We start from the raw sequence: 17068 nt of genomic DNA on the forward strand, positions 1-17068 counted from the left end.
TTTTATAGCTACATTGGCATTCTGTTCATGAAACACAAGTAAAGCGATGACTTCATTCCCGAGGATAAAGGATAATTGATCTTAACCTTCCTATCACTTTTCCTTAACTCAAAGCACTAATGCAATTGAAGGTACTGATAAATAAAATTTCTCCAGGAAATGAATGACATTGTGACAGATAACCTCCAAGTTACCTCCAAAAAGTACAAAGTACAATATGATTCAGAATCTCAATTCAGGAAACCCTTGCCCCACAGTGTGAATGGAAAGCTGCCAAAAATATTTTGTTGAAAAGAAATTCAAACTTTGAGGATATTTTTTCTTCCTCAGTTTTTAAACAAAAAAAAAAACCTAATTTCAACAAAATCCCAACAATTCAAAATGAAGCAATGTTCAAAGCTGGATTATTCATTTACATTAAATTTATTAGTGTGATGCTTTTATTACCACAAACCTAAAACATTTTGCCACCTTTATCTCCTGATGTTACCAACTAATCCTGATAAAACATATAAAGCTAAGTAATGGCTCTGGAAAACTGTGTATAACTATATTAAGTTGCTACTTCACCAAGATAGTAGTATTCCCATCTCTTTTCCCTTTCTTTTTTTCCAGTCACTGATGATACTTACCATACTGAGCTGGAGTATGTGAATATGGCTGATTTTGGCCACATAATTTTGCCATACTTTTTAAAACAGAGGTCAACAGCTAAATTAAGGCAAAATTTTACCACATTTTTAAAAATCGGAGTCTAAAGAATGGAGGGAAGGTTATTGATTGCCACGTTAATGTAACATTTCCCTTTCCAGAACAAGTAATTATGCCTCTTTAATGTAAATATGGTAACCCACTCAACGTAAGCTAATCTAGAGAACAGACGCCCAAAGCACACTGTCACCCAATACACGAGCGCACACACACACACAGTGGCCAGAGGACAGAGCAAATTCAGAAACCCAGAGCTCAGCACCTTGCATAGAACTGTCACCCCTGACAACCTTCACACAAGCACACCTGGCTGGCTTAGATTTGCAGCACCAGTATACCTTACTGGTAACCCAGCTGCAGCCCACCATCACAGCCCGCAAACGCAAGCCCACAACCCCACACACCCCGTCACTTTTTCCAAGAGACCTGTACGCCGGCCCCAAGCCTCACTGGCTCCGAGCCCGTCCGGAGTTTCCGCGGCCGCCCCGAGGCCACTAACCGTGTCTGCAGTCGCAGTAGCCCCAGTCCACCTTGCCACGGGCGTCTCCGTAGAAACACCAGGGTCTGCCCGCGCCGTCGGGGCTCCGACAAAAGTTGTGGCGCTGTCCTCGCAGCTGAGCCCAGCTCGCTGGGGGCGACCGCTCCAGGAAGGGTGGCACCTCCGCCCACCGCAGACACGGGGCGCCGAAGTCCGTCACGCTGACCCATGGCTCGCCGGCGGGGCAGCCCCAGGGGTGCGGCCGGGGCGTGTGCCCGGCCTGGAGGGCGTGCGGGCGCTGGGCAGGGAGCGCCCGCGGGGGGCGCGGGAAGCGCGGGAGAGGCGGCGGCGGACGCGTCCTCGGGGGCCGCTGCTGGGTGGGAAGGTAATAGGGGTAGTGCGGACCCGCAGGGGGCGAATGGCGGTGGCTGTGGTGGAGGGAATCATTGAGGACAGAATCAAAGCCGACCACTTCGGGGAGCGCCCCTAACATCAGGGCTAGCACGAAGCGGGCGAGCGTCATGGTGCCAGCGCTGCGGGGTCTGGTCCATGCTCCCCAGCTTCTCGGGCTTGGAGCGGAGAAGAGGAGGGGGCGGGGGCGGGGCTGCCGCGTCCCTCGAATCCCCCAGCCCCCTCCCGCCCCCGCACGCGGACCGCCCTCGCCTCCCCAACCTTGCCTCCCGCCGCTGGTGCCCTGCCGCGCCTCGGCTCCTGTCCCCTGGCGGCGGCCGCGGGTGGGGAAATCTGGAGCTCAGCCGAGCCCCGGCCGGCGGAGAGGACCGGAAAAGAGAAGGCGCGGACGCAGCGGGGAGCGGTTGGGCCTGAGCCCCAGGTAGCGGCGCAGGCACGAGCCCGGGAACTCTGCCCCCTGGGGGCGGGCGCCGGCCGCGCAAGCTGCTCCGGACCTACGCTCGGCCCCTGCCAGGCCCACCGCAGTCCGCCCGCACGGCACTGCCAGCTGCTGGGACCGAGCCCGAGGGTGCCCGCGCGGAGCACGGTCTTGGCTGCCCCTTGCCAGCATGCAGCACCAGCACAGCCCGGCGTTGGCGGCTCCCAAATCTGGCACCGGCCCCTGCCGTCATCTCTCCTCCAACCTCGTCGCCCCGTATCTTGCTTCCTCTGTTTTGAAATCTTTACCAAAGTATGGATGGATTTAGATGCAGCTCTTCCCTGACAACTCCCAGGATAAAAGTTATCAAAACCCACGAGGAATGTTAAAGCCATTTCACTGAACTATACGCTCTTCAAGGACAAGACCACGTTTTATTCAGCTTGATATCACCGTGCTTAACACCGTGCCCCAATAAACATTGGCTGAAATTAAAATCCTGAACCGACTCAGGGAAAGGAGCTTGAGCCTTTCTGCTTCCTGCCTCCCACTTTCCAGCCGGTGCCCTGGACAACACCAGTTGTTTGGTTATTATTGGGATTCAGTGAGGCTCTCTTAATACCAAATTTCCTCTCTAACCAGAGAAGACTTCATCCGTCCCGGTTTCCATCCTATCCAAAAAGTCCACCCCCCTAGCACCTGCCTCGTTTTTTGCAGGGCAAGGGACTTCTGTTAAGCCTATTCATTTGCCTCTCCAGAGACTCTGCCTGCTGACAATTTTGAAGCTTCACTGTTGGCTCGACCTCAGCTTAGTAGGGCCCTTTCAACACTCCTCGCCCCCCTCCCGCAGGCTCCAAAAAACTGTTGGCTTAGAATCTTAAAAAAAAAAAGTTACTGGAGCTGTATGTTTTAGTATTTTGCCTTTCAGTTGTTTCTGACTATGCTACCAAAGTTTGACAAGGAGAAGGAAGCCCGTAAAGAAGGCAACATTTTATTTTCTGGCATGGTCACGTTTCGTTGTGAAAAAGCAATGCTGTCTCATAATATAATGTACCCTGAAGAAAACTTGAACAAAATTCAAATGTTTATTGTTAAAACCTAGGTTTCAATTAGGAACTGAATTAATTCACTACTAGCTTTAAATAAGCCATCTTTAGCCGGGCGAGGTGGCTCACACCTGTAATCCCAGCAGTTTGGGACGCCCAGGCAGGCGGATCACATGAGGCCAGGAGTTCGAGAACAGCGTCGCCAACATGATGAAACCCGCCTTTACTAAAAATACAAAAAGCCGGGGGAGTGTTGGCGCACGCCTGTAATTCCAGCTACTTGGGAGGCTGAGCCAGGAAAATCGCTTGAACCTGGGAGCAGAGGTTGCAGTGAGCCGAGATCGTGCCACTGCACTCCAGCCTGGGCGACAGAGGGAGACGTTGTCTCAAGAAAAAAAAAAAAAATCCATCTTTAATTTTGTGGGTCGTTTTATTGTTTTTTGTTTCACTCCTATTAATGAAATATTTGATTTTACTTTAGAGAGAATTGGGTAAAAGAAATGATGTTAAGAGTCCAGGGATGTATTTGTCAAATCTTTATTCAAGTTGTTTTCATTCCAGTTGTTTTTACCCATTATTTTTTTACTAATACTTTTCTGGCTCCAAAAGCATAGTTAAATCTATACTTGTGGAAGACAATGAAAGATAAAATATATATCTGGAGTAGTCTATTTGTTCATTTTAGTGAGGGTTGGCAGAGCTCATCAATCACAGATTTTTGAAATAATAGGTGACAGTTCTATCAGGGGTCAGCCCTTTTTCTTTCTGACTAGCTTTTCCACCTTAGGCTACACACCTGATGGCCCAGGGAAGGCTCATTTTAGGACTGTGGGGAGGCTGCTTGGACCCTGCTCCCTCCCCTTCCCACATTGACCCCTACAATCATTGCTTCCATGCTTCCTGGGGGTCCAGAAGCAGACCCAATTTCCATGCATCTACATACCTTGCAGACAGGAAAATAATGAGAGAGAAGTGAATAAAACAGAAGACTGTTAGATCTGAGCTCCAGAGAGGAGCATGGCCTCAGGCAGTCTGGCCTCTCCTCCACTTCCCTGTACTCTGAGGCCACTTAACATTTAACAGACTATAAAATTGACATACACAAAGTGGAGTTACCCACAGAAAATTCCACGTCCGGATTTCATCATTTAAGTTTTAAAACATACTTTTCTTAGAAAATATAAGGGCATTTATGTAATTATGATTTGAGGGCCTTGGCTTGGGTTTTGCCTTCTATTTGACAGGAAAAGTGTGTCTTAAATAGCTCTCTTCTTGACATGTTAGTCCCCTCCTCTGCTAATATTTTCTCTTCCTCTCTTCTTTCATTTCTCCTTGCTGCTACCAACATACAGATGTTTAGAATTTCCAATTCCCAGTTCAATCTCTGAAATGCATTTCTCCCTCTTCTACCTGTCACATCACAGCGTGTGTGGAGTTGGGGGGAATTAAGAGTACAGGGATTTACAGGAAGAAATCTTTTCCTTCTACCTCTATTAAGGCGCTACTTAGTCAAAGCTCCCTCCCAGGATTTTCATCACCCTCTAGTATATGCCAAAGGAGAGGGGAGGCAATTCCATCTTGTTACAACTGTAAGAATCTTCGTCATGTGCAGTGGCTTAAGCCTATAATCCCAGCAGCTTGGGAGCCCGAGGTGGGAGGATTGCTTGAGCCCAGGAGTTCAATACCAGCCTGGGAAACATAGTGGGACTCCGTCTCTCTAAAAAAACATTTTTTAACTACAAGGAGGCTGAGGCAGAAGAATTGCTTGAGCTCAGGAGATTGAGGTTGCAGTGAGATGTGATCACGCCACTGCACTCCAGCTTGGATAGCAGAGTGAGACCCTGCCAAAAAAAAAAAAACAAAAACAAAAACAAAAAAAACTCCCACAGCTGATCCTCTGCTTTCCCTTCCTTTCAGCAGCAACAAAGGAACAAGGAAAGGGACAAAAAGAAACAAATGACATCTTGCAGGCACACCTCATCTCAACACTTGGAAGTCCCAGGGAGGCCCCCATAATGGGACTCTGTCACCTCCATCACCTCTGATTTCATCAATCCTCTGTCATTGATTTGGGACCCAAGAATTCAACTCTCCTTTGCCACACAGCCCTGTTCTGGTAGTGCCTAGATCCAGAACAACAACTGGAAACCTAGGGAAGTGAAGGGAAGAGTCTCCCTGCACACACAACGGCAGGGAGGGTGGGTAGTCTTGGGGGTGAGGGTGCGGTACACATACATCTGCATATCTGTGCTTTCCCACGGCAACTGTGTTATACATGAATATTTGGTTTTGTGGTAGTTTAGGGGATCATCTTACTTCACATAAGTGATGGGCTGAATAGCTCTTGTGTAGTTTGATTTGGAAACATAGCCGATATGTATATTATTTTTAGAGAGTTCCAAAAACCAATATACAAAATAACTTTTGGAAAAGGCCCATTTACAATTTAGATAATGCCTGCATTTAGAAAAGCTAAGAACTTTTAAACAGAAGGCTAAGAACAGTATTTACTTTGACAATTCCAATGGCAAAAAAAATTTTCAAAAGAACACTGAGCATTGCTCTTTCACATCAAAGGAAAAAAAGTCAAATAATATGAGGGACTGTCTAGGGACTGTAGGGGACTCAAAATTATAGAACATTGTCCAGCCTATAGAGAGGTGAAAAGAAAATTAGATGACAATATAATATTTTATGTAAAATTCAAAAAAATAAGAGAAACATCCAAAAAATAAATGATGAATTGCCAAATGAATGGCACAATGCTTTGGGGTCAGAAGTCCCTGTTAGTAGGCAGTCTCTGGCAATACAGGGAAAGTCTCCACCTATGCCTTGTATTAGTCACACTCTTCTCTGCTCGCCCCAAACCATGAAGACATCTGAGGGCCAATGATTGCAACAGTAGTACTATAGGAGTCATTTGATCTTGATTTTTCTCATGGTTTAAGGTTGAATTTCATCAACAGAACAAAATGCTTTTTAATTTGGATTGATGTTTAAAATTCACCTAAATGATATAATTCCTATGCAGAAATTAGTTCTACAGACTCATTTTCAGGGTTACCCAAATTATATGTACTAATAGGTAAGGAGTGTGTGTGTGTGTGTGTGTGTGTGCGCCTCACACTCTCTCTATATATAGTTCCTAAACTTGGTTACTTTGGCCTTGGCATCAAACCTGTGCTTGATCTGCACACTAATCAGTAGGGAAATTCAGACGAGTTTCTTTACCTCCTAAGCCCAAGGCTCCTCATCTGTGAAAAAGGGAGAGTGACAGTACTTGCATGCTAGATCTCTGTGAGGGGTAGTTGAGATAATGCATGTAAACTGTTGAACAGAGTACTCCATATTGTACGGTGGAATAGCATCAGTAACTGCCATTGAATTCTTAACCCCTCAAACTAAGTCACCCAGTGAAAATCTACATCAGTGATGCAGGAAATTTGCCTAGATTTTCCCTCCCCATCATGCTCTGCCTCTTACTGCACCTCAGCAATTTCCGCTTTAAGATTGATGGCAGTCATGAGGCTGCTGTAGCTCTGCTCACTTGAGCGCTTGTTCTCTTTGTATGTTCTCTCTCTTCCTCTCCACAAGTTTTGTCCCTGAAAGCCAATGAAACACTAAGTATCTCAAATTAAAACACTTCTCCAGAGGAGTTTGCCTAAGTATAACGAGTGGTTTTCAAATCCCTCAGCCTTCTAGTTGCAAGTGGGCTGTGATCACAGAGGAAAAGAGTAAACAGATTGAAAGAAACACAGCACCAGAACTGCTTGCCAATGATCTGGGAATCACAGAATCTTAGTGTGGAAAAGGGCTTAAAGCTCCAACTTCCTGTCAAATGCAGGAATCCTTCCAGAACTTTCTGACAAATGGACTTCTATCTATTTCTTTCTTTCTTTTTTCTTTCTTTTTTTTTCTTTCTTTTTGAAATGGAGTCTTACTCTGTCACCCAGGCTAGAGTGCAGTGGCACTATCTCAGCTTACTGCAACCTCTGTCTCCCAGGTTCAAGTGATTCTCCTGCCTCAGCCCCTGAGTAGCTGAGATTACAGGCATGCACCACCACACCTGGCTAATTTTTTGTATTTTTAGTAGAGGCAGGGTTTCACCATGTTGGCTGACTGGTCTCGAACTCCTGACCTCAACTAATTCGCCTGTCTTGGCCTCCCAAAGTGCTAGGATTACAGCCGTAAGCCACCATGCCCGGCCCCATCTATTTCTTTAAAACTAATCACGGGAGAAGTTCCTACTTGGGAGCCAGCACACTCTTATCTCTAGAAAATCCAAATTGTTCAGAAAATCTTCCCTTCCATAAAGCCAGAAGTTCCCTACAGGTAGAAACCTACTTTATCTAGCTGTAATTCTGTTTCTATCCTCCTACTGATTTGGGGGAATAGAGGTTATTTGAGTGGGCAGTAACAGTTGTGGAATCCACCCCACCTGGGTTCAAATCCCTGTTAAATTATGTATTAGCTTCTTGGCCTCCAGGGGATGCTAAAGACTCTTTTCTTCCCCATTTCTCTCTATCCTCAAGAAAGAGGAGATGTGTTGACTTGAGGGGGCAGATCCAAGAGCAGTAATTAGTCCACATTACTAGGGTCCATTAGTAGTATTATCATGTGAGGTATAAATAAGTCTGTATATGGCTGGGAGCAGTGGCTCATGCCTGTAATTCCAGCATTTTGGGAGGCCAAGGTAGGAGGATCATCTGTGCCCAGGAATTCAAGACCAGCCCGGGCAACATAACAAGACCCTGTCTCTATAAAAAATAAAAATAAATAAGACTGCATAAGCATAAGTAATCAGTTTCCTATTTTCTCTCCTTTTGCTTATTGTGTTTTTCTTTACTTTATCATTGGAATCATAAGAACCATAAAGCTGAGGTTTGGGTAACAGTTGTAGTAAAAGGTAGGAAAAGGCGCTGTTTAGCTATTTGGCCTAGATACTAGTAAACTGCTTTGGGGTTTGGGGGCAAAATTCCAGTTAATTTTAAAAGCTTGCATTTGGCTAAGCTTGTCCTCTACATATAGATGTCTCCCAGGGAATTCACTGGGAGTGGGGAGGCATGAAGATCGTGTGAGAAGTGTTCAAACCAGAGCAACTCCATCTTGAATAGGGGCTGGTTTCTTGGAGGATGAGACCTGCATTCCCTAGAGGTTAGGCATTCTTAGTCACAGGATGAGATAGGAGGTGAGCAGGACTGGCTCCATAAGATACAGGTCACAAAGACCCAGCTGATAAAACGAGATGTGGTAAAGAAGCCAGTGAAAATCCACCAAAAGCAAGATGGCGATGAAAGCAACCTCTGGTCATCCTGGCTGCTCATTATACGCCAATTATAATGCATTAGCGTGCTAAAAGACACTCCCACCAGTGCCATGATAGTTTGCAACATCCAAAAGTTACCCTGTATAGTCTAAAAAGGGGAGAAACCCTCAGTTTCAGGAACTCCCAACCCCTTTCCCAGAAAACACAGGAATAACCCACCCTTTGTTTAGTGAATAATCAAGGAATACCCATAAGTATACTTAAGCAGCCCATGCTGCTGCTCTGCCTGTGGAATAGCCACCCTGTTATTCCTTTACTTTTCTTAATAAACTTACTTTCACTTTACTCTGTTGGCTCACTCTTGAATTCCTTCCTACATGAAGCCAAGAACTCACATGGCCTCCCAATTTTGGGGTTCACCCTGTGACAACATGATTTCAGGATCCTAGCTTCCCAGTAATCCGTCATTACTGATAACCTCTCAAAATATAGTTTGCCTGTCCATAATATGGAGGTAACAATTCTACTCTACAGGATTAAAAATATTATGTTGGACACTAAGCAAATGACTATCATTTAAGTTTGTGGAAACAATTATCAGGGCTTTTCTGCTTTTTCTAGACTAAATGAACTATTTTTCCTTCTACCATTTCTTATTTTGATGCCTTATGCTGGAACCCCTTCTCTGGTTAAGCCCAAGTGCAACAATATCCTCATTAAACTGTAGCTCATAGAATTAAAAAACAATACTTTAGGTATTATTTGACCACAGCAGATTTCGAGAGAATAAAAATGTTCCCCTTGTTTCAAATATCATACTATGATTATATTAACTTGTTTACAGCCACATAACATTTGGTTCTTATACAATAAGCACAACGTTACTTAAATTCTTGTCAGCCTGAAAATTTTCAACAACCCTGTTCAAACTGTGAAATCTTCCCTAACCAAATTCTGCTCTCAAAATATGTGTTAGCCTGGCACGCTATACACACAGAATTTCACAATCATAATCACATTAATCCAGAGCTGTCTTCATTATAAGCTCTTTAATGGAAATAATTATGCACTCCACAGTGATTGGTCCTTAACTGGCAGCCAATGAATAGTCATTGAACAAATGAGGTTTTTAAGTAAAGTGCAAATGAGTCTTTTCCTTTTTTTTTTTTTTTTATAATATGGTAGTGTAGTGTCTACAAAAGACATCGCAAACCAGAAGCCAGCAAAATGCATATGCCATCCAAATATGTTTTATGTGCTACCAACTCATTTTTTTTTTAATTTTTATTTTTTTGAAACCAAGTTTCACTCTTGCTGTCCAGGTGCGAGTACCATGGCATGATCTCGGCTCACTGCAACTTTCGCCTCCTGGCTTCAAGTGATTCTCCTGCCTTAGCCTCCCAAGCAGCTGGGATTACAGGTGCCTGCCACCAAACCTGGCTAATTTTGTATTTTTAGTAGAGATGGGTTTCACCATGTTGGCCAGGCTTTTCTCGAGCTCCTAACCTCAGGTGATCCACTTGCCTCGACCTCCCAAAGTGCTGGTATTACAGGCGTAAGCCACAGTGCCCAGCCCCAACTCATTTTAAAAATTAAATTTCATTCATGATTTTAAGATGAGTAGCTCACACATAAAATTATTGATTTCTAGCTTCTCTTATGTAACTGTAAGAATACTTTTGGCTGCAAGTAAAGTAAACCTCAAGCTGCCTTACAATAAGGTTTTTTAAGGACCATATAGGTCTCATAAAATAGGAGGCATCAAATTCCCCAGGGTTAATTCCTTCAATGTCTAACTAACTATGCTCTTGAGGTCCCAGGCTCCTTGTCTTTTTCTGCCTGCCCATCTTACTGTTAGCTTCACCTTCATACTGCCAGCAAATGGCAAGACATCATATTCAGACAGAGCCTGTGTTTAGAGGAAGAAGAGAGACTTGTTATTTCTGTACCTCTTTTTTAGGAGCAAAGAAATCTTTCCCAGAAACCTCCTTGGAGATTTTTCCTCTAATGTTGTTGACCAGAATTGGGTCACATACTTGTTCAATAAACATTCTCTGGCAGGGAGGATAAACATCCTAGGATCAGCTTGGACTAATTATCTGGGGTATAATGGATGCTTGGGAAGAGATTAATCCAACCTATGTGTACTACCTTGAAAAATCAAAAGATCTGGCAATGCTGCAATCCAAATTCTCACATGGCAACAAATGTCTAGAGCTGTTTCTATCCTTACAGAGACCTAGAAAATGGTCTTCAGTTCCCCATGGTCCCCACTTGCCTGGCCTTTGTAACCATTTGAGTTTTACCAGACCTAGTTTATACTTCTTTATCTGGCAGGAATTTCATGCTAAGTTATAATGTTTCATGGGTATTTTAGTCTATGGATTTTTCACAGTAAATGATGTGTAGGTAATTGTGTGAGTTATCTATAGCACATAACAAATTGTTCCACAACTTAGTGTTTTAAAACAACAAGTGTTTATTATCTCACAGAGTCCTGAGGATCAGAGATCTGGGAGTGGCTAATCTGCAGCTCAGGGTCATGAAGTTGCAGTAAAAATGTTATTGGGACTGCAGTCATCTGAAGGCTTGACTGAGGTAGAGGAACTGTTTCCCAGATCACTCATGTGGCTGTTGGCTGGAGGCCTCAGTTCCTTACCACATGGACTTCTCCAAGGTGGTGCTTAAAACGTAACGTTAGCTTCCCCATTGCAAATGATACAAAAGAACAAACAAGACAGAAGACACAAAGACTTTTATAACTTAATCTCAGAAATGGCATATCATCACTGCTGTCATATTCTATTACTCACACAGTAAATTAGCCCTGGTACAGGGCAGGAGAAGACTATGAAATGACGTGAATTCTAGGAGATAGGGATTGTTGGGGGCCATCTTTGAGGCTGGTTAACAGTTATATTCTGCAAAATTGCTCTAAAACAGAGAATTTAAAAATACTGTGTTTATAATGTGGCAATATGTATTTTCTAAATGCTAAATAAGTAAGTGCATTTTCAATGAAACAAGCATTTTAAACAAAACATAGGGTCAGTTCCAAGCAAAAGTGTTTTAATTTCCCTACAATTGCATCTCCCACTATACTTTATGAGCAGGCTCATTCTTGGTCTATTATTTTTCTGGTTACAAGAAAGCAAAAGATTTTATCCATGAATTTAGGTATCCAGACTCACAGTAGGACTCCAGAGTGTACCAGCTGCCTGATAAGACTTAATATGTCAATCAGCCTTGAGTTATTAATATCTTAATAGGGACAAAAGAATGCATGAAACTGACAAGGGAACTATAGGATTTCAGGCACCCTCTGAACTGAGTCCCGAGGAGCAGAAATTTGGGTAAGAAAGATGCTTCCTGAAAAGCTATCACTTGTAAGGCCTCTCATTAGAATACTGCTAAAGACAAAGAATTGTAAAACAAAACCAAAACAACCATGGTTTAATTTGACAAAAAGATTACCAAAGTTTTTCAGTTAAATTATATTTACTATCTTCAAAACAAACATCTCTGAGTATTTTGTAATGCATCAGAATTTCCTGTCCAATAAATTAAGCTACACACATTTCTATTGCCTCCCAATACACTCTCAGCCAAACAAAAAACCCCAAAGCGTCAAAAAGTTTATATGCATAATGAAGCTATAACAACTAGAAACAAAATTTGCTGGTACAACTAAATCAGAAAGAATTTCTTTTCCCCCACTTTCATAAAACAGCTACGTTGTGAAGGACAATATGCCCTCATTTTGGTGCTGAAAGATTGACACAGTTTTGAAACAGAGACTCATTGGCAGTATTAACAGCTGAGCTGTGTAATAAAACAAACTCAGGGCATTAAAAATATGACGCTACCCTAGACTAGTCTTTATTTTTAGAAGGCTTAGAAACCTCTACCCAGTGTAAAAGGCTTTTTCATATGACTTAATGTTCTTTGCTATCGAATGTCATTTAAAAGATGAAATATGGTCATTAAACAAGTAAGACAGTATTTGGCACATAGCATTAGTTATGTTGCAGCCCACAGCTGAGGCTGAGCAGACAACTTTATATAAGTTGCTAGGTTCCATCAGGATTCTAAAATAAGAAATGGTAACTGGTTAGACTTTGTTCTGTGAAACAATGCCTATTAATGCAATGCACATGTCTTGTGGAATGTTCGTCTTCAGAAATATTTTAAGTAAATTATTTCAGAGAATCAACAATAACTTTGGATAACATTAACCTTTGGACCTTAATTAGCTCAAGGCATATAATGATTAAAGCAGAAGGAGATGACCTGTTAAAAAATAGATCTCTAGAAGGGAGGAATTTAAAATGTTTAAACATTGAAAACACACAAAAACCAGATAAATGACATGGGTTTAAGAAGACAAACGTCATGATTTTCATTTTTGATTGTGATACACAGTGTTTTTGGAAGCTATGATTTTATACTTTATAATTTTCTATATTGTTTTATTTTCTAAATATGTTTGATAAAGATCTTTAAAGAAAGAGTGCAAGCAGAGTAAAAATATCTTTAATGTACACCCATCTAGTAGCGTCCATTTAAAGATATACCGACTTATTCATAATGAAGAAGAATTTTTCTCAAGTGGTTGGATGGATTTGTGTTGACTGTAAGTAAGCTTTTGAGGGAGATATTGGGTCTTACTCATTTCCAGATTCTCATTTAGTGAAAGCTGCTCAATAATGTTTTTCACTGATTCTATCTCCAGTCTCTTACTTAGTTCTCTTTTTGGTCAGTGGATTAGATTACCTTTGTGAGATGGTTGGCTGGAGGTAAATGCATAGAATGCAGTGAATACAGGGTTACAAGGTTGTTGTTACTGTTTCCTGCAAATTTAATAGATTTTATGGGAAATGTTAATAAAAACTTACTTTGTTTAGAATATTTTGCTAAAAATATACATTTTTCACTACATTTTCTTTCTAATTCTCTCAGAAAATGGATTGGATTATCCATTCTAGAGGCTTTGAACTAGATGGATTGTAACCTACACTATTCTAGAGGCTTTGAACTAGATGGATTGTAACCTACACAATTTATAAAAGCATCTGGATATGAATTTGGAGCAACGATAATTTGAAAAGTGCTTTAAGCGGTCAGACATATGCTAAATCAATCCGGGAACACACAACCACCTACATTTCTCTTTGGCAAATACAGAAGAACACTGGGATTTTACTGTTTCTCATATAGCTTCACTCTAGCCCATGGGGCTCATGAAGTTGCAGTATATTAAACAATCTAAAAAGATTTCTGCATGCGGTATAAATTACTGTATTTAAATCAGTAAAAAATAAAGCATATGCTATAATCAGGAAAAATAAATGAATAGATCAGATATTTTTGGGAAATTAAAAAACTGATACAAGAGATGTAATTAACGATACTGTTTTATTTCAAACAGAAACTCTCATTATCTACACTTGATGATTCATAAGCCTAAGTTACTCTGAGGGGGTTGAGAATATTTACCTTTGCTTGCTTTTTATTTGCAAGGATTAAAGCCAGATTACCTTCTCTTTTTGTATACCTAAGTATCTAGCAAGGTTTGTTCCAAACTACACTATGTGGTTAATGCCAAATCAAATTTTAGGTGAAATAAAAAGGGACAAACTATAAAGAAGAATTATAAACAGTAAATCTAATAAATAAACATTAAATTTTATTTTTTTATTTTTTATTTTTTGAGATGGAGTTTCGCTCTTGTTGCCCAGGCTGGAGTGCAATGGTGCGATCTTGGCTCACCGCAATCTCTGCCTCCTAGTTTCAAGCAATTCTCCTGCCTCAGCCTCCCGAATAGCTGGGATTACAGGCATGCACCATCATGCCCAGCTAATTTTGTATCTTTAGTAGAGACAGGGTTTCTCCATGTTGGTTAGGCTGGACTCGAACTCCTGACCTCAGGTGATCCGCCTGCCTTGGCCTCCCAAAGTTCTGGGATTACAGGCCTGAGCCACCACACCCAGCCATAAACATTAAATTTTAAAATCTATCCTTATTCTTTCAGATTTGTCTGTTTGTTGAACTCTAGCTCATGTTCAAAACTTGCTTTAACAGCATACAAACTATAGACAGGGGAAGAGTCAAAGTGAATATCTTGACAATTTAGGTAAAATAATAAGAGTTGGCATTAATTGAACACTTACTCTGTTCAAGACCCCACAATAAGCATATCGTCAATCATATCAATCATTCATTTTATGTATGTTCATTAATTCTTCCCAAAGCCTATAATATAGGCAGACAGGCATTATTATCCAATGGGGAAAAAATAATAATAAAAGAAAAGAAAACTGAAGCTCAGAGAGTTTAATCAACTTGCCTAAATCTATAAAAGTAGTAAGTGATTAAGATGAGATACGCAGGCAGGACCATAACCACTTCATTGCAGAACAGAAAATAAGCTTCTTTTTCTTTTTTTCTTTTTTTTTTTGAAACAGAGTTTCACTCTGTTGCCCAGGCTGGAGTACGATGGCATGATCTTGGCTCACTGCAACCTCCGCCTCCCGGGTTCAAGTGATTCTCCTGCCTCAGCCTCCCGAGTAACTGGGACTACAGGTACCCGCCACCATGCCCAGCTAATTTTTGTATTTTTAGTAGAGAAGAGGTTTCACCATGTTGGCCAGGCTGATCTTGAACTCCTGACCTCAGGTAATCCACCTGCCTCAGCCTCTCAAAGGGCTAGGATTACAGGTAAGCCACTGTGACCAGCCAATAAGCTTTATTTGCAACTAAATTATTCTAATTGTTATCTTCAACTATAAAATTCAGTACAGATGCTCAATTCATGATTTCTCAAAAGCAAAGATGAAGATCCTAGTAGACTTCATTAATCTACAAAGTTATATTAGACTGAAGTCTTACATCGGGTTATAGGAATTGTAGCCATGCAGCCATCCAATTTAGAAAAGTAGATTTAAAGAACTTAAAATCTTCAGGTCTCTGGTGACTGAGTTTATCAGGCAAGTTTCCACACTTGAGCACCAGCTGAACATAAAGATCTGGACTTTGAAAAGCAGAAAAACCAAATGGGAATATTATAGCTAATGAGGGGTCACCACTTACCACTGAGCTGAATGCCTGACCTGGTTATGATTTTGTCACATATGTGAGTTTCTATGGCATAATTTGGCAGTTACCAACCCAAGCTATGAGCTCACACAGCTTGGGTTCAAATTCATCTCAGCTGCTTATTATCAATTTGAGCATTTTGGCAAGTTATATAACTGCATTAAGCCTTTTAAAATTGTTATAAGAATTAAGTGGGATAATTTTTGTATATTTTGGTATAACATTTATTTTAGATCTGACTTTTTTTTTTTTTTGAAGTGGAGTTTTGCTCTTATTGCCCAGGCTGGAGTGCAGTGGCACCATCTCGGCTCACTGCAACCTCTGCCTCCTGGGTTCAAGCGATTCTCCTGTCTCAGCCTCCTGAGAAGCTGGGATTACAGGTGTGCGCCACCACACCCGGCTAATTTTTTGTATTTTTAGTAGAGACAGGGTTTCACCATGTTGGCCAGGCTGGTCTCGGACTCCTGACCTCAAGTGATCCACCCACCTTGGCCTCCCAAATGTTGGGATTACAGGCGTGAGCTACCATACCCAGTCAGGTCTGACTTTTCAAAAAAAAAAAAAAAAAAATATATATATATATATATATATACACAGAAGTATTAATTTAAGGAGAAAGTGAGAAATATTTAGTTCATAAACTGCTCTTATTGAAAATAGTAGGTTGGACACAGTGGCTTACGTCTGTAATCTCAGCACTTTGGGAGGCTGAGGCAGAAGGATCATTTGAGGCCAGGAGTTGGAGACCATTCTGGGCAACAAAGTAAGACCCCATTTCTACAAAAAAAAAAAAATCTGTTTTTAATTAGCTGGGGTTGGTGGCCCACACCTGTAGTCCCAACTACTCAGGATACTAAGGCAGAAAGATTGCTTGCACCCAGGAGTTCAAGACTGCAGTGAGCTATTATTGTGCCACTGCACTCCAGCCTGGGTGACAGAATGAGACCATATCTCTTGAAAGAAAGAAAGAAAATAACAAAAATAGCTATTTGAAAACTACTGACCACTAACACACAATTTCAAAGAAATTTTGTATGTATTATGTTATATTATGTAACGTAGCAATTAAGGACTGGCCTTCAAGAGGAGTCAGAAAAAGTCTGTGTTCAAAATTTAACTCTGCTTCTTACTTAACTCGGATGACATCAGGCAAGTTGCTTAACTTCCTTTAGCTCAGTTTACTTGTCTATAAAATAAGGATAACTCTAATATTTCAGCAGTAACTTTTTTTAATTTTAATTTTTTTGTACAGACAACATCTCCCTGTGTAGCCCAGACTGGTCTCAAACTCCTGGTCTCAAATGATCCTCCCACCTTGGCCTCTCGACGCACTGGGATTACAGGTGTGAGCAACTGTACCCAGCTGGTAATCATTATTTGATGAATAAATAATGAAATAACAGCATGGTACCTGGCATATAATACACTTTAGATAAATGTCTGTTAATAATGTTAATAAAATTATTATTGTTCAAGTATAAGTACAAAATAAGAACTCTAAAGCTCAAGTAAAGGGAAGTGAAAAGAACTTTGGCTTTTTCTCCCTATTGCTTGCAATTCAATTTGGCCACATACTGGGCCACTAGACTGTCTTCTGAGAAAAGAGGTAGGAGAGGGAAATGTTAGACGTGGTTTAATGAAGT

General features: G+C 41.5%; 1 protein-coding gene across 4 annotated transcripts in view, besides 3 other annotated features; it reads right to left on the bottom strand.

Moving 5' to 3' along the window:
* Positions 1 to 1995, bottom strand: part of PRSS12 (serine protease 12) — a 72966-nt gene extending 70971 nt beyond the window's left edge. For all 4 annotated transcript variants that reach the window (NM_001440549.1, NM_003619.4, NM_001440550.1 and 1 more), the window contains exon 1: positions 1211 to 1995. In NM_001440549.1, coding sequence (NP_001427478.1) covers positions 1211 to 1712 — 502 coding nt within the window. In that variant the 5' untranslated portion in view covers positions 1713 to 1995. The remainder of the gene's footprint in view (positions 1 to 1210) is intronic.
* Positions 1740 to 2585: an enhancer, noted in NCBI's record as "H3K27ac hESC enhancer chr4:119273903-119274748 (GRCh37/hg19 assembly coordinates)". NCBI's record gives its function as "activates a minimal SCP1, AML or CMV promoter by ChIP-STARR-seq in naive H9 embryonic stem cells {active_cell/tissue: H9 hESC(naive)}" and the evidence as "EXISTENCE:reporter gene assay evidence [ECO:0000049][PMID:30033119]".
* Positions 1852 to 1931: a silencer, noted in NCBI's record as "silent region_15650". NCBI's record gives its function as "represses an Ori minimal core promoter by ATAC-STARR-seq in GM12878 lymphoblastoid cells {active_cell/tissue: GM12878}" and the evidence as "EXISTENCE:reporter gene assay evidence [ECO:0000049][PMID:35858748]".
* Positions 1962 to 2221: a silencer, noted in NCBI's record as "silent region_15651". NCBI's record gives its function as "represses an Ori minimal core promoter by ATAC-STARR-seq in GM12878 lymphoblastoid cells {active_cell/tissue: GM12878}" and the evidence as "EXISTENCE:reporter gene assay evidence [ECO:0000049][PMID:35858748]".

This window comes from Homo sapiens, chromosome 4, assembly GCF_000001405.40.
Source record: "Homo sapiens chromosome 4, GRCh38.p14 Primary Assembly".
NCBI lineage: Eukaryota > Metazoa > Chordata > Mammalia > Primates > Hominidae > Homo > Homo sapiens.